This window comes from Homo sapiens, chromosome 18, assembly GCF_000001405.40.
Source record: "Homo sapiens chromosome 18, GRCh38.p14 Primary Assembly".
In the NCBI taxonomy this organism is placed as follows: Eukaryota; Metazoa; Chordata; class Mammalia; order Primates; family Hominidae; genus Homo; species Homo sapiens.
Window position 1 is genome coordinate 49304896 of NC_000018.10, and position 27735 is coordinate 49332630.

Consider the following 27735-nt stretch of genomic DNA (forward strand, 5'->3'; position numbering starts at 1 on the left):
CTATTCTACCTCAGCTACCCAGCCCCTTAGTCTCATCCTGCCTAGACATTCTCTCCACTGGTGACTGCACTGCCACTACAATTCTGAATTCATGCATTCCACTCCCTGACTACCACTTCCCAGCATTCAGGTCACTTCCTCTAGTCCTGACTCAAATAGTTTTTGACCCGCTCTGTTATCTCTACTACTTTTCTCATTGTCCATCGCCATCTCCATGTCCTCACTTCCCTCCTCACCCAACTAGGATTCTGAAGTTCAGTACTGAAATCACTTTCTTGCTGATGCCTTCCCAATTCCCTCACTTCTCTTTTCCTCCATATTTGCCTGGCAAAACCCTAATCTTGATTAAATCCAACTCTCCACCTACTCCATGTCCCAGGGCAGTTACATATAGCTGAAGAACAATATAACCATTCCACTTGCTCTTACTTTAAGTTCATCACCACAAATCTCAAGTGCACCCCCAGCTCTGCCCAGCAATCCTACTACATTGACCTAGTCCCTGGGGAAACCTATTGTTCTCTTTAAACTTCTAACAACAATCCCTAATCTTCATGCTTAGCTGACTCTTACCTCTTTGTAACTGAAAGACAGAATCTATCAGAAGAGAACTACCTTGTCTTTCCACCTTAAAATCTACACATTCACCTGTATCAACATGTACATTCTGCCTTCAGATGAAATATACTTCCTCCTATATTTAGGAATATCAATCTCTCTGTTTTGAATAAAATGTAAGCTCAATGAAATGTAGGCATTTAATAAATATTTGTGGAAATAAGCTGAATTATTCCTATCACAGTGTACAAATATGTAAAAATTTCCGATCAAAAACAAAAATAAAAAACCTCCCTAGAATCCATGCACCCTTCCATTTGTTGCCTTATTTTTCTGCCTATACTCTGACTTCCTTTCTCCCTTAAACCCATCCTAATTAGCTTCCTAAACACCATTCCAAATAAATGATTCATGACAAAGTAACCACCAAGCTCCATTGTACCAGCTCCATTCATTTACCAACAGTCCATTCTAAGTCCTCACCTTACTTAATCACTTACTTAGATCTGCAACAAGTTGTACAATTAAGATGTGTACTTCATTGCACACACATTATAACTCACACATTAGAAAATGTCACTGAAAGTATTTCATAGTAGATCAGATACAGCTGAAAAGAAGATTAGTGGACTGAAAGATAAATCCAAGGAAATTACCCAAAATGCAGATGGAAGAGAAATGGAAATTCTAGGAGACCAAGATACATGAAGAATAGAATAAGAAGGTCCAACAAGCCTGACAGGTCATTTTAAGAAGAAAGGTGAATAGCAGAGACATAACACAACAAATTAAAACTTCAGATCACAAAGGTTACCCAGAAGTAGAGAGTTAATTATTTTTTCCCCTTCTAAGGTCAGAAAACTAGCAGGCTTAAGTCTAGGTTTTATGTTTTTTGTAATATACCACATCACTCAGAAAAGAAAGACAGAAAAATCCAGTTGGCTCAGAAACTCCTTTAGGCACAAATCACATATTATCCCGCTTCTTGAACTGGGATGTGTGAATTCTTGGAGACAGCCCATGGTGCACTAGGAATAAGCAAAACCACAGAATGACATTTTCCTGGAACATTAATTTTCTAAAAGGAATTCAAGGAAGTTAATTAAGTAATTGAACAGGCATGTGATTACACCTTTTCAGTAATAAACATGGATATATTTACCAAAGTAGAACTTCAAATGTGCATATATTTATAAGATAAACTATGAAACCTGAGCATGTGGTAACAGGCTTCTAACTTCTCGATTCATAAGTGAGTTATGCATTTATTTTCTTCCACTCTAAAGACTAAGCTTAAAGAGCACTCTAATGGCTTTCTCAACAACCTGTGAATTACTATGATTTTCAGGATTCAAGGTCTATTTAACAAAGAAGATTCTTCGTGTAATTCACTGTGTTTTTGTTTCTTCTACTCTGGATTTAAATGTTTTATTTTGTGAAGAGTATGACGAAAATATCTGGAGACTGAGGACACAAACTGGTACCCAGAAAGGGAGAAGTATAATACATGGTTCTCTCTCACCCCACTCTCATCTGCTTGTTATGAAGTTCTGATAATCACTGGTACGCAGAAAGGGAGAAGTATAATATATGGTTCTCTCTTATCCCACTCTCTTCTGCTTGTTATGAAGTTCTGATAATCACTTCTGCAAATAATTCAATCTAGAAAGCTAGTTTATTATGTCATGGTCTTGCCTTCATCTACTATATGTTATATCGTAGTATGAGTCAGGATTAAGGAGAGTTACAACAGAACTGTATAATAATGGCTTCAACAAAAGTCCAAAAGTAAAGGCAGCAGAGCTTGCACATTGCCTCATCATGGTCAAAAGCCAGGATCCTTTTCTTTTGTTGCTTCACTGTGGATTGTCTCCATTCTTAAGGTTACCCATGGTCCAGGATGGCTAAACCAGCTCCAGCCATCACATCTTCATTCAAGTCAGCAGGAAAAAGATGAGCATATGTACTCCCTTTAAGAATTCTACCTGCAAATTTGCCCATACTATTTCTACTTACATTCCATTGGCTAAAATATGGACCATACCTGGTTACAAAGAAGAATGAGAAATATGGTCTATTCTTGGTGTGCATGTGGTCAGCTAAAATGAGGAAGGGGTACAACTAGCAGTCACTGCCACACCTCATCTGAGTAAAACCTTTGCAGTGCCCCAAGAATACTCCTTTTCACTTGATATGGCAGAAAAGATAGTTTACCTTCCATACCCTGTCCTTCATGTCCTTTCTTTAACTTAGATCAGAACAAACAACTGTGCCCAGATAAACCAGTGAGCTTCATTAACAACATGAAAACTGGCAGAAGTACCCTAACATCCTTCCTTTGAATAAAAGCAACAAGGTGCCTCAAAACATGTGCTATGAATCATGGAACCAAAAGAAGGAGGAAAATGACTTCAGCTGCTTGACAGCAAGAATTTGCCTGCTTTCTTGATGTGACCAAGTCAGGAACTGAAATTAATAAAAGTGACAGCTTGGATTCAAACTGCACCTTTCTCTAGTAGACTCCAGCTTTTCAAAAATACTGCAATATGCAATTTTGCTTTCATAATGTACCCTTAATATTCTCTAATGACAAAATAAAATGACATTACTTAACATTTTAAACAATAAATACTATAATACTTAATTTGCTGAAATATAATCTATACATATATCTAGGAACAAAAACTGAAAAAGAATGAGAAAGACCAAAAACAGCTATTTTTTTTACAGAGACAGAATTATAGCTAAACTTACTTTTTAATTTTCAGAACTCTGAATGCTCTTTATGCAACATTTTAAAATTTTATAAACAGACATTTCATACACACTTGTGTGTGTATATATATATATATATATGTATATCTTACACATTCAAGTCCTGCTGACTTGAATGAAGATGTGATGGCTGGAGCTGGTTTAGCCATCCTGGACCATGGGTAACCTTAAGAATGGAGACAATCCACAGTGAATCAACAAAAGAAAAGATAGAGACAGATGGTATCATGAAAACATCCCGGCTTTGAAGCCACACATGATTTTAAAGTCCAGTCCTACCGTCTACTAGTTGTGCACCTTCGTGAGAATTATATAATTTCTCTACAATAAAGACCACATTATCAGCTATTTCATGTCTGTTGCTTTCATTTCCACCCCTCCCATCTATGATCTGTACTGCAGGGAGCTACAAACTTGCAAGCTATATTCCCAAAACTACTTTGCCTGCTGGCTTCAGGTTAGGGTCTGACAATGGGAGACACTGGCGGGAGACGGGAAGGGGAAAAGAACAGGGGAACCATTTTTCTTTTTGCTCACTGTGGGGTCTCTGGCAGATGCAACTATGGGTCCAATGGCTTCCTGCTCAGGTAGTAAGGCTTCCTGAGGTTCTACTGCAGTGTAATGTAGAAAGATGTTCATTAAAGTGTTATCTGGAATGGCAAAATACTGAAAACCACCAAAATGACCAACCATAGGCTGAAGGCTAAATAAACTTGGGTAGATCCATATAATACACCATTAAAATTACATTCATGAAGAAATATTAATGGCATAGAAAACACACCACAACGGTACATAAACAAGATAGGATTTTAAAAGCTATATTGTCATTAGCATTACGTTAGTATTGTTATCGCAGAGCTAGACAAGAGCATAAAAAAATTCAGATTCAAATCCAGTATAATTTAAATATCTATGAAAGTTATCTCCAAGCCTGACAGACAGATATGAAAAGAACAGAAAATGCAATCCAGCAGTAAAAAGCATACTTAGAGAAAACTGGGTCAACCTAAGTAGAAGGCTGCAGATTTATGCTTACGCTATGGATTTTCTCTCAAAGGTGGCAAACTTGAAAGTTTGATTGAAAGGTTTTTTGTTTGTTTGTTTTTTTAACTAACTTTTCAGGCTGGATGCAGTGGCTCATGTCCATAATCCCAGCATTTTGAGAGGCTGAGGCAGGAGGCTGACTAGAGGCCAGGAGTTTGAGACCAGCCTGGGCAACACAGCAAGATGCAGTCTCTATAAATAAATAAATAATCAGTTGGGTGTTGTGGTGTATGTTTGTAGTTCCAGCTACTCAGCAGGCTGAAGCAAGAAGATAGCTTGAGCCCAGGAAGCTGAGGCTGCAGTGAGCCATGATCGCACCACTGTGCTCCAGCCTGGGCGACAAAGCAAGATCCTGTCTCTAAAAAAAACAAATGTTTTTAAATCTAACTTTGTAATGTATAAACCATAGATATATAAAGTACATAATCAATACATAGTATATCTGTGGTCTTAAAATTTCCTGCCATTGCAGGAGAAATGACAATTAGGAAAAAATGACCCAAAAAGGATCCTTAGGGGAATAATAATGGAAAAAAAGGTTAAGAAACACTGGCCAACATAAATCTCCCTGAAGGATAAAGTGCTAATGTAACTTGAACCCATGGGTGCACAGAAGGGTCGAAATCAACCCTATCCAGACGGCATGGACCCAGAATTCTTAGCTATCACAGGGACAACATAATGGTTCAGTGTATAGCCAGCCATCCCTGTGTTAAGGTAAAACAGCATGGACGCGTGCAGCACCAAGACATACAAAACTCAAAGCTTGTAAATAATACCAAAATATTTAAAAGAATTAGAAATTCACTATATTGGATATACTATGATTGTTTAAGAATAGGAAGTGCTTTGGGTAGACACGTCAAGTGATTAAAAAGAAAATCTAATGTATCAAATTTGTAATGGCAGTTTTATTATTTTAATGGATTTAATTAGCTAAGTTTATAAATGACATTAATTACATGGGATTCAGTCTGTTTAACCTGAGTTCAGTGAATATTAATCAAAGGTCTTTTTGAAAGCTACTGCTAAAATTTATTCAATTTAAGTTACCCTGAACTTAAAAGCTGAAGGAAAGGGTAAACTTGAAAATGTTACTTTAATAAAGTATAAAAATCTTGGTATAAAACATGAGTAACTGCCAGTATTACTTTCTGAGCACAAAAGATGCCCCCGCATGTGTAAAATTACATACCTGAAGTATGACCTCAGTTATGCATATACATGTGAAAGAGTGTATATGTATGTATATTTGCCACACATACATAGAAGATATATCAAACTATTAACCATAATTATGTGTGGCCAAAAGAATTATTAGATATTTTAAGTTTTCTTTACAGTTCTCTATATTTTCCAAATACAGAGTATATACTCATATCTGTATTTTCCAGGCCATTTCACTTTGTTGCTAAAATGTTCCTCTATATTAGTACCTTGTTAATTCAATACACTATAGAAAATGTTGCCTTTACATTAAAAAACATATATGCTTAAGAGGATTACAGTTGAGCTTGGTAAGCCAAAAAGAAGGTAAAGCATTCTAGCCAAATGTTGTTCAATTGAAACAATAAGGGCCACATTTATAATGTTAAATTTTCTAGTAGCCAACTAAAAAATTACAAAGAAATGGGTAAAAATAATTACATTAATATATTTTATTTAATCCAATATAGGCAAAATATTAGCATTTCAATGCAATCAATATAAAAATGATGAATTAAGTATTTTGCATTTTTTAAGAATCTTTGGAATTTGTTGTGTATTTTCCACTTGGAACACATAAATTCAAGCAGCTGCATTTCAATGCTCAAAAGTCACATGTGGCTAGAGGCTTCCTTAGAGACAGCACAGGTCTAAGCAGAGGGACAACAGGACCGAAGCCACAGAGGCAGAGAAGCACAAGGCACAGCTGGAGAAGGGAAGGATCATGTAAGTGGAACTGAGGATCAACAGGCAGGCAAACTGCCAGTTACGATGGTCACTGTGTGCCACTGAGGGCTTTACAATCTTATTATCAGTGAGATCCACACCAAGAGTATAAATAAGAGAGCCAACACAATAAAGTTTTAGCTGTTTTAGAAAGTTCTCTCCAAAAGAAAAGTGTGGAAAAAACTGTAACAAAAGGTAGGTCTGTAAGAATTCACATAAAAGATGTTTATTGCAGCATTATTCACAATAGCAAAGACTTGGAACCAACCTAAATGTCCATCAATGATAGGCTGAATTAAGAAAATGTGGCACATATACACTATGGAATACTATGCAGCCATAAAAAAGGATGAGTTCATGTCCTTTGTAGGGACATCGATGAAGCTGGAAACCATCATTCTGAACAAACCATCACAAGGACAGAAAACCAAACACCACATGTTCTCACTCATAGGTGGGAACTGAACAAGGAGAACACTTGGACACAGGGTGGGGAACATCACACACCAGGGCCTGTTGTGGGGTGGGGGGAGGGGGAGGTATAGCATTAGGAGATATACCTAATGTAAATGATGGGTTAACGGGTGCAGCACACCAACATGGCACATGTATACATATGTAACAAACCTTCACGTTATGCACATGTACCCTAGAACTTAAAGTATAATAATTAAAAAAAAAAAAAGAATTCACATGAGAGATGATGAAGTTTAAGGTTATGAGAGGAAGGGGCAGACAGATGATCTGGAGGTAAAATTGAGAAGTACCTACAAACTTAAGACATTTATATTTTCCTGGTAACTTTTTTTCTTTTCTCATACACTGGCCATCTTTATCTCTAGGAAAGCTACAGACACTGGTATAGCTGATAAACTTCACTATTGCTTATGTTGATGCACTGTGTGTGACTGTATAACTGAGGGTATATTGGGATTGGGGGACGTAAAGGATGAAATCAAGAACAGAGGCTGTGAGAGCAGCAGGAGGCAGCCAAATGTCTAGGCAGACAGGGGCAGGTCCCCAGTGAAACTTCACCTCTAAGCCAAAGAGAGTTTAAAGCCTGAAAGCCAAGCTGCAAGTTAAATCCTCAGACCGGATTGAGAACTTGTCTTCCTGTTTGGCGTGCTTTCCCCTGACTGGTCCCCACCCTTCACCTATTTTACATATACTGACCCTTTCCTAATTGGTTTTCTACACTGTCGTGTCCACCTTTGAGTGGTGTCTTCACTTTAACCTTTTTTGCATACTCACAAACCAATCAGCACACACTCCCCAGTCTGAGTCCATAAGAGACCCTGGACCCAGCCACACAGGGAGAACTTTCCCACCTTCAGGTAAAGGAAGCATCCCCTATGCATCCCCTCTCTGCTGAAAGCCATTTTCATAGCTCAATAAAATTCTTCTCTGCCCTCCGCACCCTTCAATGTCCTGCATATCCTCATTCTTCTTGGGCATGGTACGAGAACTTGGGAACCGCTGAACATGGGTACAAGCTATAACACAGGTGACCGGGGGCATGTCAGCATGGCCAAGCAAGACCCAGGCGGGGCATCACCACCAGGGGTCCCCAACTTGCAGAGTGACTAAGAAGAAAAATCCTGCATCAGTTGGGTTAGCTCTTGGCTTTGAGAGCTAAATGGAAGGTAGGTTTTCTGAGACAGCAAAGGTAGAATAGAAGCACAGATTTAGGTACCTCTAAGACTAACAGAGTCCTAATCACATGTGCCACAAAGTTAGAAGAGAGGTGGGTGCCAGAGATAAGGCGTTATGTACATGCACTTGTAATTAATCCTTGAAGCTATCAGAAGCATTTAAACCATAGCAACTCCATCTTGAATAGGAGCTAGGTTAAATAAGTCCGAGACCTGCTGGACTGCATTCCTAGGAGGTTAAGGCATTCTGAGTCACAGGATGAGACCGGAGGTCAACACAGGATACAGGTCATAAAGACCTTGCTGATAAAACAGGTTGCAGTAGGCCGGGCATGGTGGCTCATGCCTGTAATCCCAGCACTTTGGGAGGCCGAGGCAGGCGGATCACGAGATCAGGAGTTCAAGACCAGCCTGACCAACATGGTGAAACCCCATCTCTACTAAAAATACAAAATTAACTGGGCGTGGTGGCGCACACCTGTAATCCCAGTTACTCAGGAGGTTGAGGCAGAAGAATCACTTGAACCAGGGGGGCGGAGGTTCCAGTTAGCCAAGGTCGCACCACTGAACTCCAGTCTCGGCAACAGAGCAAGACTCTGTCACAAAAAAAAAAAAAAAAAAAAAAAAAAAAAAAAAAAGGGCTGCAGTAAAAAACCTGGCCAAAACCTGTCAAGACATCACCCTATATGGTCTAAAAAGAGGCATGAATAATCCACCCCTTGTTTAGCATATCATCAAGAAATAACCATAAAAATGGGCAACCGGCAGCCCTCAGGACTGCTCTGTCTACGGAGTCGCCATTCTTTTATTCATTTACTTTCTTAATAAACTTGCTTTCACTTTACTGTATGGATTCACCTAGAATTCTTTCTTGTGCAAAATCCAAGAACCCTCTCTTGGGATCTGGATCGGGACCCCTTTCTGGTAACATCTTTTTGGTGACCCACAGAAGAGACAATGATGAGGAAACCCCTGACCCAGGGCTAACTTTGGGTAAGTGGTGGGGTCTGGTAACAAAGCCACTGGTATAAATAAAATTACCAATAAAGATGACATTTGTCTTGCACCACTTACCTCCAAGGGCTATTGTAAACATCACATGAAAAAAACACAAGTGGCCAGGCGCGGTGGCTCACACCCGTAATCCCAGCATTTTGGGAGGCCAAGGCATGCAGATCACCTGAGGTCAGGAGTTCAAGACCAGCCAGGCCAACTAGGGATAGGTAGTTTCTTCCCTATCAAATATTATTTTACAAGTTTATGATAATCATTCCCTCCCTTTTCTTTACACACAGAACCACCTGTAAATAAAACCCTAAATGACATAGTTTAATTTTGCCAGTTTTCAAAAAATACAGTTTTGCCTATTGAACTTTCACACTATATGTGTTCTTTTTCAAGCTGCTTTTCACTCAACATTGTGCTGTAAGAGTCATCCAGGTTTATATGAGTAGCTGTAGGTCCTTCAGCTGTGTACATTGAACATAATACTTTTTATCCATGCCACTGTTGATGGTCTTCTGACTTGCTTCAAGCCTGAGACCATTACAAAGAATGCTGCTAGGAATGTTTCTATATGGGCTTCCTGGTACACACGTGCGAATTCCTATGGAGTACATCTAAGAATGGAGACAGTGTGTTAAAGAGTAGATACATATTCAGTTTTACTAAATAAAGACCAAAGCAGCTGAACCTAACTACATTCTTAACAAAGTAATATTTCCTATTGGCACACTGCCTTCTTTCATAATTTAAATGTAACATTCATTTCCAGTTTGGCAATTGTACTGTTTACAATATTTGCCTAATTTTGAAAGAGATTTAATTCATTTTCGCTTTATGCAAAATAAGAGTAAAATTACATCTCCAGTCCAATAAGCAACATCTAGCTCCACACAGAACCAGCAGGGGGAATTCAGACATTCATATCGTATGATTGGCTTCTGTACATCTCTGGAAGTTATACCAAGAATCCCAAGGTCATTAGAGCTCTTCATTCTCTTTTCTGTTTGGCTCACTCTTTTTGTGTGTTGCAATCATGTTTACTAAGATTGCTTAAAGGCCAGGCCGGTGTCTGAGGGGTGGTGGCTCAGGCCTATAATCTCAGAACTTTGGGAGGCCGAGGCAGGTGGATGGCTTGAGCTCAGGAGTTCGAGACCAGCCTGGGCAACATGGCAAAACCCAGTCTCTACAACAGATACAAAAATTAGCTGGGTATAGTGGCATATGCCTGTAGTCTCAGCTACTCAGAAGGCTGAGGTGGGAGGATCGCTTAAGCCCGAGAGGCGGAGGTTGCAGTGAACTGAGATCACATTACTGCACTCCAGCCTGGGTGACAGAGCAAGACCCTGTGTTAAAAAAAAAAAAAGAAGAAAGAAAGATTGCTTATTTCTTTAACCATTTAACATACATGTTAGGTTCCATAAATTTAAATTCCCATGCACAAAAAATTGTATGGTATTTTTATCATTCAATATCAGAACTACATCTAACCTGCCTACCGGGTATGGGAGGAAAAATAGGCATGGCAACATCCGTAGTAAGAAAATGTAATATATTTCTTAAATATTGAGTTTTATGTACTATGAAGATGTATGTGATGTTACAAACTTCAGACGCAAGAACAAAGATGTTTTTTCCAGAGAAGTCACCTCTTTCCACCTATCTTTGCCCATCATAAAAAACTATCAACATTTATGGTCTGATTACTTAAATTACGCTGCTCTGCACTGACTACATGAAAGACTAAAAGACGTGATTTTAAAAAATCTTTCAAAATAAATACATTTCAAATAATTAGCACAATTATTTTCTAATTCTGCCAGAATCTTAAATAAAACATACAAATAAAAATTTAAAACACAAAAACATAACTTAAAAGCAAATGAATCATAGTATATCATTTTGTTGTACCAAAATACTCATATAATCATTGACAATCTGAAAACATCTCAGTGATAACCATATAATTGGAACCCTGTGTCAACACTTTGTTACTGAATTAGAGAAAACCAGTCTATTGAAGAAAAATATGAAACAAGTGTTTTCTTTTAGAAATATAATGGAAGTGCCAGGACAATAAAATACCCAAGTTTGCTAAAAATATACATGTATTTTATAAAATAAAATATTCATGAATAGGCCGTGTGCAGTGGCTCACGCCTGTAATCCCAGTGCTTTGGGAGGCCAAGGTGAGCAGATTGCTTGAGGTCAGGAGTTCAAGACCAGCCTGGCCAACACAGTGAAATCCCATCTCTACTAAAAATACTAAAATTAGCCGGGCGTGGCGGCGCATGCCTGTAATCCCAGCTACTCGGGAGGCTGTGACAGGAGAATCGCTTGAACCTGGGAGGCGGAGGTTGCAGTGAGCCAAGATCGCGCCATTATACTCCAGGCTGGGTGACAGAGTGAGACGCAGTCACACACACACAAAAAAAAATCATGAATACTTTTCAAGTTAAATATAGAGAAATATTTTACAAAAATCAAAAAGAAAGGGAATGTAAGTTTTCACTGGCTTATTTTGTAAAACTGAAGGCCTCCATCAAAATGCCCCAGAACTAATATATCTGAAAAAACTTCCAAATTATAGAAGAAAAACATCACGTAAAAAGATGTTTTACTGCAATGATACTTACGCAAGCATTTATAAACCATCTAAATGCACATAAGATGCAATTTAAATAAATGATAGTAAATCCACACAGAAGAGATAATAAAAACAACGTTTACTGAAGTTTATAACAATAGGAGAAATGTGATCAAGTTTACAGCTAAACAGCAGGATATATCATCACATCATACAGAATAGTGTTGCTGCCCCAAAATGCTCTGTGCTCTACCTACTTATGTATCTTCTCCTCCCCCTGAACCCCTGGCTATCACTGATCTTTTTACTATCTCTCTTTTTTTTTTGCACTTTCCAGAATGTCATATAATTTGAATCATACAGTATAGACAGCCTCTTCAGACTGGCTTCCTTCCTTTAGCTATAGGCATTTAAGGTTCTTCCATGTCTTTTCCTGGCTTAACAGCTCTTTTCTTCTTATTGCTGAATAAAATTCCACTTTATGAATGTACCACAGTTTGACTCATCTGTAGAAGGACATCTTGGTTGCTTCCAATTTGGGGAAATTATGCATTTGTCTAAACCCTGAGTACTGTACAACACAAAGAATAAACCCTAAACTATGGACTTTAGTCCAAAATAATGTATCAATATTGGCTTGTCAACTGTCACAAATGTAGTACACTAATGGAAGATGCTAACAGCGGAAACTTGAAGAGGAAATTTGTATATGAGGACTGTATGTATTTTCCACTCATTTTTCTGTAAACCTAGAACTGCTCCAAAAAATAAAGTCTATTAATTTTTAAAGTAAAATGTAAAGAATTAAAAGGATAAAGATACAACCATAAAGAGAATGATAGTGGAGCCTTAAGTGGTTGATGGATTTTAACAATTTTTGGTAGAAAGTTAGCAGTGAATGTGGTGAGACACAGTCAAATTCTCAGAGAAGAGGATGAAAGAAATTCCTGACAGAATCTTTGGCAGGGGTGCAGAAGTAGAGAAGGCATCTGAAATGGGGCAACAGTGAGAAGTGGGCCTGGAAATGAAGGTTTGCCAAAAGTCTTTAACTAAAACAATCAACTCATATAATGGTACTGCCCTAGTCCTTAGCCATCTAGATTTCTCTCTCTCTCTCTCTCTCTCTCTCTCTCTCTCTCTCTCTCTCTCCCCCCTCCCCCCTCCCTCCCTCCCTCCCTCCCTCTCCTATCCTCTCCTCTCCTTCCTTCCTTCCTTCCTTCCTTCCTTCCTTCCTTCCTTCCTTTCTTTCTTTCTTTCAAGCAATTCTCGTGCCTCATCCTCCCAAGTAGCTGGGACTGTAGGTGCCTGCCACCATGCCCGGCTAAGCCATCCAGATTTTCAAGACTGCTCATATCATTCTAACAAAGGCTTGATGGCATTCATCCTTTTAACAAATATTTAGTATCTTCCATAACCCAGGCTCTCTGCTAATGCACTGAGGGTGCAGGTACAATAAGCAACTCCTGCTTATAACACATTCTTCATATTCTAGAGGGGATAGTAGTTAGGTAACAGAGAAGCCTAGGGCAGTTTAAGAACCAATGGCTACCCAGGAAAACAGATGATTCTACATAGACCCTACCATCTCTCCACTCTAATTCTCTACTCCATTTCACTCTGCTCCATGCCTACACCTGATACCCCACACCCTTGCCCCAAGGTCCACAAACTCATGACCACAATGTTTCTCCTGGAGCCACCATTGCTTACAGCATCATGGCAACCCAGAGATGCAAGCAGTTGTTCAGGATACACAGAAGCAAACTAAGGCAGGAAATGCAGGGGCTATTAAGCCAAGAGCAATGAAGAAGGATCCGAACAATATGGGAAACTGAGAGAAGACAAGAATAGGAGACTTGAGAACAAACCAGGTCTAGAAATTATCTTTAAGCTGGGCATGGTGGCTCACGCCTGTAATCCCAGCACTTTGGGAGGCCAAGGCAGGCAGCTCGAGAGGTCAGGAGATCAAGATAATCCTGGCCAAAATGATGAAACACCATCTCTACTAAAAAAAATTACAAAAATTAATTGGGCATGGTGGCGTGTGCCTGTAATCCCAGCTACTTGGGAGGCTGAGGCAGGAGAATCACTTGAACCAGGGAGTCAGAGGTTGTAGTGAGCCGAGATGGCGCCGCTGCACTCCAGCCTGGTGACACAGCAAGACTCTGTCCCCCCACAAAAAAGAGAGAGAGAGAGAGAAAGAAATTATCTTTAAAAATAAGGGTCCCACAATTTTTTATTTAAGAAATTATCTTGAAAAGTAAGTGATAACCCCACAATTTTTTAGTTACTCAAATAGCATCTCTCTTGATAAACATGTATATGAACAGGTAACATTATTTCTTTTTCTTTTTTTTTTTTTTTTTTTTTGAGACAGAGTCTCACTCTGTCGCCCAGGCTGGAGTGCAGTGGCACGATCTCGGCTCACTGTAACCTCCGCCCTCTGAGTTCAAGCAATTCTCCTGCCTCAGCCTCCCGAGTAGCTAGGATTACAGGCACCTGCCACCACGCCCAACTAATTTTTTTTTTTGTATTTGTAGTAGAGACGGGGTTTCACCATCTTGGCCAGGCTGGTCTTGAACTCCTGATCTTGTGATCCACCCACCTCGGCCTCCCAAAGTGCTGGGATTACAGGCGTGAGCCACGCAACCGGCCATAAATAGGTAACATTATTTCTACTTTTAGAAACATTGTTGCAAAGCTTTACACTTTCAAACAGTTACTATTGAAGACAACTGCTCTCTTAAAGCTAATATCTGCTAGTCTACACTTTCTAAAATAAACAAACTAGATCTAAAGTACAGCACAAGGACTAGAGTTAATTGTCCTGAAAAATGTTAATAGGCCTGAAAAATGATACTGATAGCTAGCAAGGCTTCCAATTTGATGAAGTTATGGTGAAGGGTGCTACTGGGGTTAATCTGCACTTATTATCCTTTTTAATAATCTAAAAAAGGGGAAATTACATTAATTTTGCAGGTAATTTTGCAAGCTGAAAGGCTAAAGGACCATGAAACAAGAAAGATAAAAACATTTAAGGTTGTTTGGAAAACTAAAGAAATTGACATAGATGAGAGGGAGAAAAAAAGATGAAGTAGGTGAATGGTAAACGAGTATTTGTTTTCAGCTCGCATTTTGTTCTGGACACTTATCACACGTTATTTAAATGTGACAAAAGCCCACAGACAAAGATACTCTAAGTTCCATTTTTAAATGAGGAAACTGGGGCTCAGCAAAGTTAAATAACTTGCTCAAGGTGACTCAACTTGCAAAAGGCAGGGCCTGGTTTCCAGCTGAGACCTTTCTGATGCCAAAAGTCGTATCCTCTTCCAATCCACCACCCTGCTAGTGAAGAGGGACAGCTGCTTCTCTCCCTCTCTTCCTTTTGTCAAGTATGGGACCCCTGTGTCCTGCAGAAGTGAGATGAAGGCTGCTAAGCACCATGATGAATGGCACTCTGCTCTCTCTCCACCACTTGTCCAATTGTGTTTGACAGGACTTTAAGGACCATGGTATCACAAAGATTATGAACAAGTACAAGAGGGGAAAAATGAAGAGCCATGTGCCATAATCCTATAAAGCATCATCATTCCGTTTTTAAAGATAGGGAAAAGCTTGGAGAAATTACATAACTTTCCCAAGTATAGAGCTTATTAGCGTGCAGTCAGGTCTGATCAGACCCCACATTCTTCATATACTGTCTTACCTAGCACTTCTGGAAGGACTAAAGATTAAGATATACATTTTTAATAGACAAACTGAAATTTACAACAGTAATTCATCCTCACAGTGATTCTATTTTCCTCCAACACTTATTATGAAAATAGTCAAACATATAGAAAAGTCAAAAAACTCTATAATGAATACCCATAAACTCAGCTCCAAGATTTTACATTAACATTTTGCTGTATTTGTGATAATATCTCTATCCATCTATCAATCCCTCTATTCATCCATAAATGTAACTTATTTTATTAATGTATGTCAAAGTTAAGTTGCAGAAACACAGTGATTCTATTTATTTATTATTATTATTTTTTAATCAAGACAGAGTCTCGCGCTGACACCCAGGCTGAAGTGCAATGTCACAATCTTGGCTCACTGCAACTTTCATCTCCCGGGTTCAAGTAATCCTCTCATCTCAGCCTACAGAATAGCTGGGATTACAGGTGCAACACCAAGTCCAGATAATTTTAGTATTTTTAGTAGAGATGGGGTTTCACCATGTTGGCCAGGCTGGTCTCGAACCCCTGACCTCAGGTGATCCGCCTGCCTGGGCCTCCTAAAGTGCTGGGATTACAGGTGTGAGCCACCGTGGCTGGCCTGATTCTATTTTAAAAGGGAAAGTTTTGAATAACTCTTACCGTTAGTCTTCGAAAAAAATATTTATGTAATTATAAATATTAAGAATTATTCATGTAAAAGGTAGTCTCAAAACTACACAAGCTATAGTTTGAGGATTTTTCCTACCATACACAAATTCTGTCAGTGAGTAACCTTGAATAAATTTAATCTTTAAATTTACTCCAAGCATCCATTCTGAAATAAACATAAATTAAAACAGCTGCTTAATAAAAGTTTACACTCACTTGACTGGGATATAATTTAACAGTTTCAAAGCAAATAAGTTTTAACCACTTCATTTTTCAAAGAATAAGATTTATAGTCTCAAAAAATAGAATTCCATAATTTCAATTTTAATATTCTCACTTTTAAATATTTTTAAATTCTACAATTTACAACTCAGTCTCAAAAATAGATTAAATCATTAGCACCAAATAAATGGCACTTGTAGCAAGTCTCAGAAACTTATCCCAGGATTTCATCTGCAATTGATTGCTTTATTCTATATTCCTCCTTGTAAATACAAACTAATTCATTCTTCAACTATTTGTAGCATGAAAGAGGCCATCAGTCTTCCCTTCAAATCTGTTAACAAGAAAATGAGAGTAGAAGGTGGGCTTAATGATTCCCAAAGCCAATCCTGGGAACTGGTTTAAAAGTGGTTGTCAGCAAATTACAAGAAAAAAAGATAACAAAGCTGTATTTTGACATTAGATTATTTCCAATGAATATCATTTTTAAAACACCTTTTAAGAAGTCTAAAATCTGAAACCATACTTTTGTCAAAGAGCAATTAAAAATAAAATAATTTTTATTACTACTCTACAACTAAATATAGTTCTTTTGCATCATAAACACTATTCCAAATCATCAATGTATCCCTGCAAGGAACCACTGCACAGAAACAGTAAACAGAAATTAACTATATTTTATAAGTCACAAAATGAGTTCAATCCTGAAAAGGGGGGGAAAAAAGTCATTCTTTCTGTGAGCACGTAAAATCTCTCAAATTATTCCAAATAGAGATGAAATGAGAATATAATTATTGTTTATTAAGCAGTTTCTTTTTTGAAAGTTAGAAGTGTTTTAATTAGAAATCTGTTATTTTCACAACTATGCCTGTTTCTGATTGCCACATACTTTTTCTCTTACTGTAGTTTTTCTCTCTCAATGAGTCACCCTAGAAAAAGCCAAAACTGAAGAGAAAAATAACAATCAAGTAAAATACATTATAATTACTGCATACCATACCCATCACAATGAATTCAACAGCTTTCTCAAAAACAGAAATTAGGAATATGAGTTTTAATCTTCAAGTTCTACTGTATGAATTTCTCTATCATAGCATTTGCCTAAAGAAATAAACACTCCTTTGGCCTTATAATTTGGCTTGGACACCCACCATTGCAAGCAAAGGAAAAAAAAAATTTTTTTGGATGGCTCATTCAAATGGAAAAACCATATATCAGAAGTTATTGTGTAAAACCTCAGTACTTGTGGTGGAAAGTGAAGTTTGGCAGAACACATTTAATTAGATTTGACTCTTCAAAATATGAAATAATTATAATGACATTACAGCTTTGTCTTATAACTTAAAACACAGAAGAAATTTCAAAGTCAACACTTCCTTGCTTCACCCCTTTTTTAGACATTGGAGAAAAATATATTAAAAGAAAAGTCCAAAGTGGTAAGGACAGAATCAAATGAAAAAAAATAAAATAAAATAAATGTTACAACTTATTTCACCTCATGGTATCAAATTTTCAACATATTTCTTTCATCATCTACCTGAATCTCTATTATATATTTATTGTATACATTATTATATGTATGTTATATTACAATATATAAACAGTGTATATACCAAACATCTGATAATTTTCATAATTTATTTACATTAAAAATCTGAATAAACTTGGAAATCATAAGGCCTTTATTTTTCAGTATTTTTAAAACAAAAGTTATATTTTAAATATTACCAGGTAATAATATCTGATACTAATAGTGACCATTTATTGTATACTTCCAAGATACCAGTCTTTTTCCTACACATTTGCTCATTTGATCTCAGCAGCCCCACAAAGGAAGGTATTATTCTCATTTTATTGTGAGGAATTTAAGTTATTGAAAGGTTAATAGCCCAAGAACACTCAGTTAATAAATAGCAGGTCTGGCATTCAATTCCAGGTCTACCTAACACAAACATCTACAGTCCAGTACGTCCCTCTTCTGTAATACCAAATTATTGTAACCCATAGCTAGATCCTCCAAAGGACAATGTAAGTGGTGGCCCTCAAAATTAGAAAAGAGAATAACGTGTTTCAATCACAGAATTGTTTTCTGAGGGGCTCCTTACACATTTTGGCCTGTTTTGTTTTGTTTTTTGTTTTTTAAAAAACAAAAACAAAACATAACAAAAAAACAAGTTAGCAGGGTTAGAATGGGTAGTGAGTGATCCACTTTGGCCACAGTCCTCACCAACACCACTAAGCAGAGCTGTGGTTTAAGATAATGACTAGAGCTGAAAGGTACCTTAGATGCCAACATGCAGAAGAGATCAGTAGCCTTCCAAATTGAGAATTTCAGTGAGGAGCATTCCAGCACAAGCTACTTAATACCTGGTATGGACTGAATTTTTGTGTCACCCTCAAAATTCCTATCTTGAAGCCACAGGTCTCAATGTGAAGGGATTAGAAGGTGGAGCTTTGGAAGGTGATTAGGCTTAGATGAGATCGTGAGAGTGGAGCCCCCATGATGGGCTTAGTGCCCTCAAAAGAAAAGACCAGAGCTTCCTTTCTCTGCCCTGTGAGGACACAGCAAGAAGGTGGACATCTGCAAGTCAGGAATAGGGTTCTACACCAAGAAGTGAATCTCCTGGCACCTGGATCTCTGACTTCCCAGCCTCCAGAACTGTGAGAAATACATTTCTGTTGTTCAAGACACCCAGCCTACGGTATTTTGTTACATTAGCCCAAGCTAAGACAATACTTTACCATCTAACATCCTGTCCCATAACATAACAAATTATGGAAGTAAGGGTCTTCAGTCATTTGCTTTATAAAACATCTTTAACGGATGGGCATGATGGCTGATGCCTGTAATTCCAGCTCCAAGGCGGGCAGATCACTTGAGGTCAGGAGTTCAAGACCAGCCTGGCCAACATGGTGAAATCATGTCTCAAGTAAAAACATAAAAAATTAGGAATGGTGGCAGGTGCCTATAATCCCAGCTACTCAGGCAGCTGAGGCACGACAATCGCTTGAGCCTGGGAGGCGGAGGTTGCAGTGAGCTTACATCATGTCACTGCACTCCAGCCTGAGTGACAGAGCCAGATAGGCTCTGTCTCAAAAAAAAAAAAAAAAAAAAAAAAAAAAAAATCTTTAACACGGCAGGGTGATGTGCTCGTAGATTAAAGAAAGAATTAACTATTAACTGCCGTACTGACTATACTTAAGGCTACCCATAATACTGATATCATTGATTAGTTTGAAACATTTGAAATATTTATTGTAATTCCAGTTGAGTCTGCATCAAATATTTTCTTTATGAAAATCTTTAATTGGCAAATTTTATAAACAAACTGTCAAGGCAAATATAATAACCTTTTAGATAAATTAGTCAATAAGAAATGGTACCATAGTGATTGTTGTCAAGGCAAGTTCACTTAGGAAGCAAGGAGAAATCTCTTGTGGGCAATATCTGTTTAACAATCAAATTTTCCTTTTTTAACTGTTATTGGCCAAATTTTGCACCACATAAAATGAAAAGCCAGTTGGAGAAAACATGGCTGGCATATTCACTTTTGTCAGTTTTTCAAAAATATTTTTAACATAAATTTCAAATTTGAGCAGACCAAAAAGATTCAAAGTTCTTAAATTTTTAAATTGTCTTATATAAATTTGTCCAGGATTTTCTGATCATTAGCTGTTGTTCTAATTAAATTTATTTTCTTTCTTTCTATTTTAACTAATAAGCACCAGCACAGCTTCAGGGCAGAAAACAAAAACAGTTATTTACATGGGAATAGATGTTGTATAATTTTCTATTTTGTATATAATATCTCACTTATTCCTCACAATAACTCTGTTCAAATGGTCTCATATTTATCAGCATTACACATAAGGTAATGAGATTTTAAATGCTGGAGAACTTGGTAAGGTCATGCTGAGCTATGACTCTATCCCAAATCTTCTGATTCTGATTATCAGGCTCTAGAACCCACCCTTAGCCACCAGGATGTCCAGGAGTGGGAGATGAGAAAAGGCATCTGAGAGGTCCCGGGATAATAATAATCCAGGGTGAGATATTGGGGGGATTTGAACCCCTAAGAGGCTCCCAGGCACCTCCCACCACCAGGTGTACTACTAGCTCCAGTTTTGCAAAGATTCCTGTGGGTAAGTCCTAAAACACAGGGGAAACTATAGGAATCCTTGTTCCTTATTAACTCTAAAGTCTGCTGCCTGGAAAACCCAGGCTACTGACCTCACAGCAAATCCTTACCAGGCTTCCAGCAAATGAAATCTATTCTATAAAAAACAGTCAAAAAATCCCTAGTTACATTCACTTTTGTTGTTATTTTACACGTGACAGCTACAGAAACACTCTGCTCTCCACACAAGAATTAAAATGTGCTACTCCTCTCTCAATATGGTACCAAGGACACAATCCTGAAGAAAAGCAAAAAGCCCCAAAATATAGGTTTAATGATCATCTGCAGCTGAAAATAAGAGCAAATCTTGGCTGTAATTATGGGCCACACACCTAACAAAATTGAATCTCACTGAGCTACACAGAGAGCCATACCTTTATATATAAAGTTTGAAAAAGGAAGATAGCACATAAAAACTACAGATCTGGAAAAGGCTTAGATGATAAAATAGGCAAAAAATTTATTAATAACTGATATTAGCACCAAAAGAGTTAGTGTGCATTTAGATTTATTTTTTTAAACGTAGAGTCCAGAATCAGGGAAGTTAGAGTTCCAATTTATTTATTCCATGTTAGAGTACTGCACTCATTGTCAGATTTATCCTGAAAACTGGACCTCATCAGCAACAGAGCACACTAAGAACAGAAACCAAGGGAATACACGAGGAGGGGTCCATTAAATCCACCATAAGCTGCCTCGAAACAACACATTTCCTCAGTAGTTAGTAGTACTGGCTCAACCACATGCCATGAAAGGCCCACAGCAGAAGAGATTCAGGAACTGGAAAGGAGGATGCATTCATCAGCGGTGCTGAAATGACTCGGATACATCAGAATCACCTAGAATAATTACTGAAGGTGCGAATTACCAGGTCCCACCTCATGTCTAATGAATCAGAAACTCCAAGTTCTAACTACAACACATATTTTTTTTTAAGTATGCCAGGTGGTTCTGGAATTCTATGATTCAGTAAAAAGTTCATTTAAAAATACCAAATTAATTAAAACTGCAACACCCTCTTCTAATTAGTAAAGTAATATATCAATTAATTCTTTTTCCATTTTGTCAGCATATTAGAAGAATAGTTAAACTAAACAGAAAGGAAACAATTTTTTCTTGTACTGGAAAATTACTAATACAGCTTTGCTTGCACCTAGCATAGATATAACACAAGATAAATATATTAATATATAATTCATTCTAACCACTTCCAGTGACTGAAGTAAACCACACTTGACACATTTGAAAAGCTTAAAAAAAAAAAACCTAAAATCTATAAGTTAATTTCTATTACACTAATTTTAAAAACTTACTAGTGGTAATTAAAAGGTATTAGTAATTCTTCCAGTTATTTATTACATTCTGATTGAATGCCAACCAAGCACTCACTGAGTACTGCAGTGCCAATAATAAACAGAAGGAAGAGAGGTGGATCCTGCCTCATGGGGCTTTTAGTGTAAGATAGATAAATTGATAGCAGAGTGGTTACAAGAATACCTAATTGTAAAAATTCAACTTAAGTGAAATACAAATAACGCTATACTCAATAAAGGAGACTTTAAAATACAGAGGAAAATATCCATTTTCTTATTTTTATTGACGTAGAAGCAAATGGCTTTTAAGGACAGTTGGATGCTAAATTTACTGAAGCTGGTAAGTATACTGTGGTAGCATAAGCGATATCCTCTTTCAGGAAATACACATTAAAGTATTTAGGAGTAAAGGGATATTACGATGCATGTAACTTATCCTCAAATGATTTTAAAAAACCGTGTGTGTGTGTGTGTGTGTGTGTGTGTGTGTGTGTGTGTGTGTGGTGGGGGGAGAGAAAGAGAAAGGGGGAGAGAGAGAGAAGAAAGTACAGAATGAGACAGAAGAGGAGAAAAAACACAACAAATGGGATAAAATGTTAACAATAAATCAATCTGGATAAAGTTACATATAGTTTTTTGTGATATTTTTATTTTGGGGACTTTTCTATATGTGTGAACTTATTTCAAAATAAAATTTTTTTTTAAGTAGGAGAATGCAGATAAATGGGAAAAAAAGATTGTTGATCATTCTTGAGCAGGGGTTGTGGGTAGATGGGAGTTCATTCTACCATTCTCTCTACTGTGTATATCTTTAGGGTTTTGTTTTGTTTTTGTTTTTTTGTTGTTGAGACAAAGTCTGTCACTCAGGCTGGAGTGCGGTGGCGTGATCACAGCACACTGCAGCCTCGACCTTCCAGGCTCAAGCGAACTACCCACTTCAGACTCCTAAGTAGCGGGGTCTGCAGGCGCGCACCACCACGTCCAGCTAATTTTTGTGTTTTTTATAGAGGTGGTGTCTCACTATGCTGCCCAGGCTGTTCTCAAACTCCTGAGCTCAAGCGATCCACCCACGTCAGCCTCCCAAAGCACTGGGATTACGGACATGAGCCACTGCACCTGGCATCTACTCTATACATCTTTGAAATTTTCTGTAATAAAATGTTAGAAAAGAAAAATAAAGAATAAATGAAATCAGGTATGTAAAGTAGCTACCACAGTGCCTGGCAAACAGAAGGCATTCAGCAAATGACAGACATCATTCTTACAACTGAGTTCACATCTATCTTGAGTATGAGCTTTTGGCATTTAATTGCACACCAGTATTCACTACAGTCCACAGATGTTGGATGGCGCTCTGCTGGATACTGCAGGGGACACCCACACAAGTCAAGGAGCTTATGCCCTCAGGACTTGGGTGATCACAAGAACAAAAGGCAGAAACAGCAAAGGCTCAGGGGTCTGATGAACTGAGCTTAAATTAACGAGCCAACATCATCTATTTCCTATGTAATCTTAGACAAAATAACATACTAACCAGGAAAATCTCTTCATCCATCATTAAAAAATTAAAACCAACTATTTCTGATAGATGAGCCTATTATGAGAATAAATGAGATGCTCAAAACGTGGCACTGTAAACTCATATTATATAAACATTAGTTCTCATTTTATTGTATGTGGAGCCAACACAGGGAGAATGATGCATGTACATAAGTTACTACAAAGCAGAGTGGTATAGTGGTAAAGCGTTAGAGGAAAAGATCGCATCTAGCCAGGAGAGCAAAGGAAGTTCTTCATGGAGAAGGTGGAACTCAAGACGGTCCTTAATGGATGAATGGGCAGAAAATAAAGAGCCAGAGAGAGAAGTAAGGAGGACTCCAAGCAACTGTTCTATCCTAGTGAAGGCATGAAAAAAGAGAGCATCTGCACAGCAAAAGAAACTACCATCAAAGTGAACAGACAACCTACAGAATGGGAGAAAATTTTTGTAGTCTACTCATCTGACAAAGGGCTAATATCCACAATCTACAAAGAACTTAAACAAATTTACAAGAAAAAAAATCAAACAACCCCATCAAAAAGTGGGCAAAGGATATGAATAGACACTTCTCAAAAGACATTTATGCAGCCAACAGACACATGAAAAAATGCTTATCATCACTGGTCAGCAGAGAAATGCAAATCAAAACCACAATGAGATACCATCTCATACCAGTTAGAATGGCAATCATTGAAAAGTCAGGAAACAACAGGTGCTGGAGAGGATGTGGAGAAATAGGAACACTTTTACACTGTTGGTGGGACTGTAAACTAGTTCAACCATTGTGGAAGACAGTGTGGCGATTCCTCAGGGTTCTAGAACTAGAAACAACATTTGACCCAGCCATCCCATTACTGGATATATACCCAAAGGATTATAAATCATGCTACTATAAAGACACACACACACATATGTTTATTGTGGCAACTATTCACAATAGCAAAGACTTGGAACTAACCCAAATGTCCATCAGTGATAGACTGGATTAAGAAAATGTGGCACATATACACCATGGAATACTCTGCAGCCATAAAAAAGGATGAGTTCATGTCCTTTGCAGGGACATGGATGAAGCTGGAAACCATCATTCTGAGCAAACTATTGCAAGGACAGAAAACCAAACACCGCATGTTCTCACTCATAGCTGGGAACTGAATAATGAGAACTCTTGGACACAGGGCAGGGAACATCACACACTGGGGCCTGTTGTGGGGTGGGGGGGAGGGGGGAGGGATAGCATTAGGAGAAATACCTAATGTAAATGACGAGTTAACAGGTGCAGCAAACCAACATGGCACATATATACATATGTAACAAACCTGCACGTTGTGCACATGTACCCTAGAAAAAGTATAATTTAAAAAAAGAAGAAAGCAAAAGGAGAGTATCAGGGTGCAACAAAGTAACAGACTCTTTCACAGAGTCTCAGAAACAAACAAAAGGATAACCAAAAACACATCTGTAAAAGTAAATGAGAAGAAACTGCAGAAGGCCTTGCCTGACTCATAGGAGGGTCCAAGCAAGTGGTTCACTACTCATCCAGCCGCAGTTCCAGTACAAGGATTCTCCTCCTGCCCTGTCAGTGACAACAAATTTCACTCCGGAACTGTAAGGTTTTCTACAACAAGGCACTCTGTTTCAAAGGAAATAATGTAAGCAACACATACAATGCACACACTGCTATGAAAAGAAATGCTTGCTATATCCAGGAAAACTTCAATCCCAACAAAAATGAATATAATCCAAATGAGTTTATAATTTACATTTGGCTTTGGAATATAATTTTTTTCAGTGAGGAACTTCCAAATCATATTTTCTCAAGCCAATAGTAAAGTAAGAGAATTCTTTAACTACCAACCAAAAGATCATCAGAAGTGATCACACAACTTAAGTCAAATCCTGGCAACTTGATTGACTTTCCTGGAATGTGGATTAACTTAAAATTACATGACTGTGATCGTTTTTACATTTCATTTTGCCCAGAGAACGTAGCTGTGCTTTTTAGGAGAATGTCCTTTTGTTGTTTTTTTATAATCCTTTGAGTCACACATATCATGAAATAATGAATCCATAATTACTCCATCTTGATTTATACTTTTACATGAATAGTTTTATAAAGATTTAGGAAGAAAGCTGTGTAAAATGTCTTGTGACTATATAGCACACTAAAAACCATAAATCTATTTTAATGCACTTAACTGAATATTAAATTTTAAAACCGTGAGAAAAAAAAGACCATAGAAAATTATGTAGTAATAATCTCAGAAATCACCATCTCAACCCACCTTCTAATTAGATAGACAAGGAAACTGAGAGCTAGGAAAATTAAGGGGCTTCCTTCCTGCTATCTAGTTAGGAAAAGATCTAAAGTTAAATTCATGTTTTTTGGCACCTGGCACACTAATGATACCACATGCAATACTGGGTTCCCTTTGATATGATACATAACTGAAAGAAAACCCAAAAACCATACACAAATCCATGTTTACTTTTTTAAAAAACTGCCAAGTATTGCCATTGTTTTGAAGAAAGCACTTACAGGCTTATACTATCTCTGCCACCCCAAAAAAACCTCTAACCATATTGGAATATTGGGAAATATTCAGCTTTTAAATACTTATACCAGTTTAATGATTTTTAAAAAAGAAAACAGTAATAGATCAATTAAGCCTTCCAATGGGACACAAAAAGCCCCTGAAATAATGAGGAAACTGGATAGGAGTAACTCAAAGAATCTATGCAGGTGTGGCACTCTTGGCAGGCTGCTCAGCACCAAAGGCAGAAGTGATCACAAGTGTGACTCAATTCATAATATTAAAAGAAATCAAAGGAAGGCAAATCTAAGAAAGTCTGGTTCACTGATTTCTGTCAATTAACAGACCAAGTCTACTGCTTTTTGAAGAGGTCTCTGAATCCAAAGAAGCTCCCAACACTAGTAAGTTATCACAGTGCTACCTTTTCATATCAAACTGATGTCCAGCTGGAGTGTAGAGCACGCCACAGCCATAATGCAGCTGTGGAAATGTGTTCCATTTGACTCTGTCCTGCGTGATTAAGGAGAGGACATGCTGCAGGTTTGGGAGGAGTAAGGAACTCCCAGGCCGACCTCACAAGTACCAAAGTGTCGCTCTAGGAAGTTTCATTTATATAACTTCACATGACCCAGGCCCTCCACCAGAACTACTCTCTTACTTCTAGTGTCTGTAGTCTGAATACTGTGAAGTGAAGCAGAAATGAGGACTTATTGTAAGGTAGGGAAGAGCTTTCTTCACTTAAGAAATCTGCACCCAATCAAACAAAACTCAAGTTTGTGCCATTTCACAGCTTATTACAAAATTCTGCAAAATATTCAGTTGTCACTGAAGAAAGCACTTAGTGTAATAGGAAAACTGCACCTAATTAGTCACATGAAATCCTAACCAAAATATACCCTAAAATAACCTAAAATAGATTTCCTCTTATAATACAAGTAGTGTTATAAGTTTTCAAATGCTTAATTTTATTTTTACTATACAGCTACAATTCATGCAATACGCATATTTATGTGTAAACATTCTTCCTGAAAAACGATGTTTTGTAGGTAATCCATTCATTATTTGCATACATTTTACATAAATCACCGCACAAAACAGAAAGATTAATATTTTAATTACTTTGTTTTCACATTGAACCAGCTGCACAAATTCAATGTAACTATTAATGGTGGCAGCCAAGCAAACAGAATTTCTTATGCCTAAATAGATAAAATTTATGTGCACCAAAGAATTGAAAAAATCTGATAAAACTTACTTGCTACTCCTGATGCAAGTCCATAAAGCAGTCCTCCCCCATCCGACTGCTGAGGGAAAACATGGGCCCCTGGAGGAGGTGGCTTTTCTTGTCTGATAAAGTTATATAATAAGGTCTTCACAAGTTTGCTGGTGTATGGAAGACTATACAAAAAGGAAAAAAAAATCAAACTCATATTTATGGGAGTCATCTAATTCTGAATAACAATACAGAAATAATTCTGCCATTAACACTATCTGTTAATACAAAAGGGCTATTGGCACAACTCACAGAAATTGAGCACTGCACACAACAGTGAAGACCATGGGCTTTGAGAGCAATTTTGAGGCTTAATCCTTGCTTTTCCTCTTATCACATCATAAGATATTGATCAAATTACTTAAATACTTTTTTTCTGCAGTGGGGAGAAACAAGGTCTGGTAGAGACAAGGTCTCACTATGTTGCCCAGGCTGGTCTCAAACTCCTAAACTCAAGCGATCCTCCCGCTTCAGCCTCCCAAAGTGCTGAGATTACAGGCGTGAGCCACCGTGCCCAGCCCACTTGAACTCTTGAACTCCAGTTACTTTATCTACATTCGGTATAACACTGTGAGCTATTATAAATTTAGTGCATAACACATTATCTGGCAATTGAAGGGAAGTAGTAATAAAGAATCAGTAGAAAAAAGCAAGAATTTAAAAATAACAATAGGACTACACTTTTTAAGTATGAAATTATTCAATTATTCAATTGGTATTAAACTAATTCCTGCAATATAGAGTAAACT

The 27735-nt window shown here is 37.7% G+C and overlaps 1 protein-coding gene across 41 annotated transcripts in view, besides 1 other annotated feature; it reads right to left on the bottom strand.

The window, feature by feature from the left end:
• The window catches only part of DYM (dymeclin), a 424259-nt gene that overhangs the window by 268509 nt on the left and 128015 nt on the right, over window positions 1–27735 (bottom strand). For 37 of the 41 annotated variants that reach the window (NM_001374439.1, XM_047437559.1, XM_047437553.1 and 34 more), the window contains one exon: window positions 26969–27111. The exons of the other annotated variants lie outside the window; for them this stretch is intronic. In NM_001374439.1, coding sequence (NP_001361368.1) covers window positions 26969–27111 — 143 coding nt within the window. The remainder of the gene's footprint in view (window positions 1–26968; window positions 27112–27735) is intronic. 41 annotated transcript variants of the gene reach the window in all.
• Window positions 14659–15234: an enhancer, noted in NCBI's record as "NANOG hESC enhancer chr18:46845924-46846499 (GRCh37/hg19 assembly coordinates)". NCBI's record gives its function as "activates a minimal SCP1, AML or CMV promoter by ChIP-STARR-seq in primed H9 embryonic stem cells {active_cell/tissue: H9 hESC(primed)}" and the evidence as "EXISTENCE:reporter gene assay evidence [ECO:0000049][PMID:30033119]".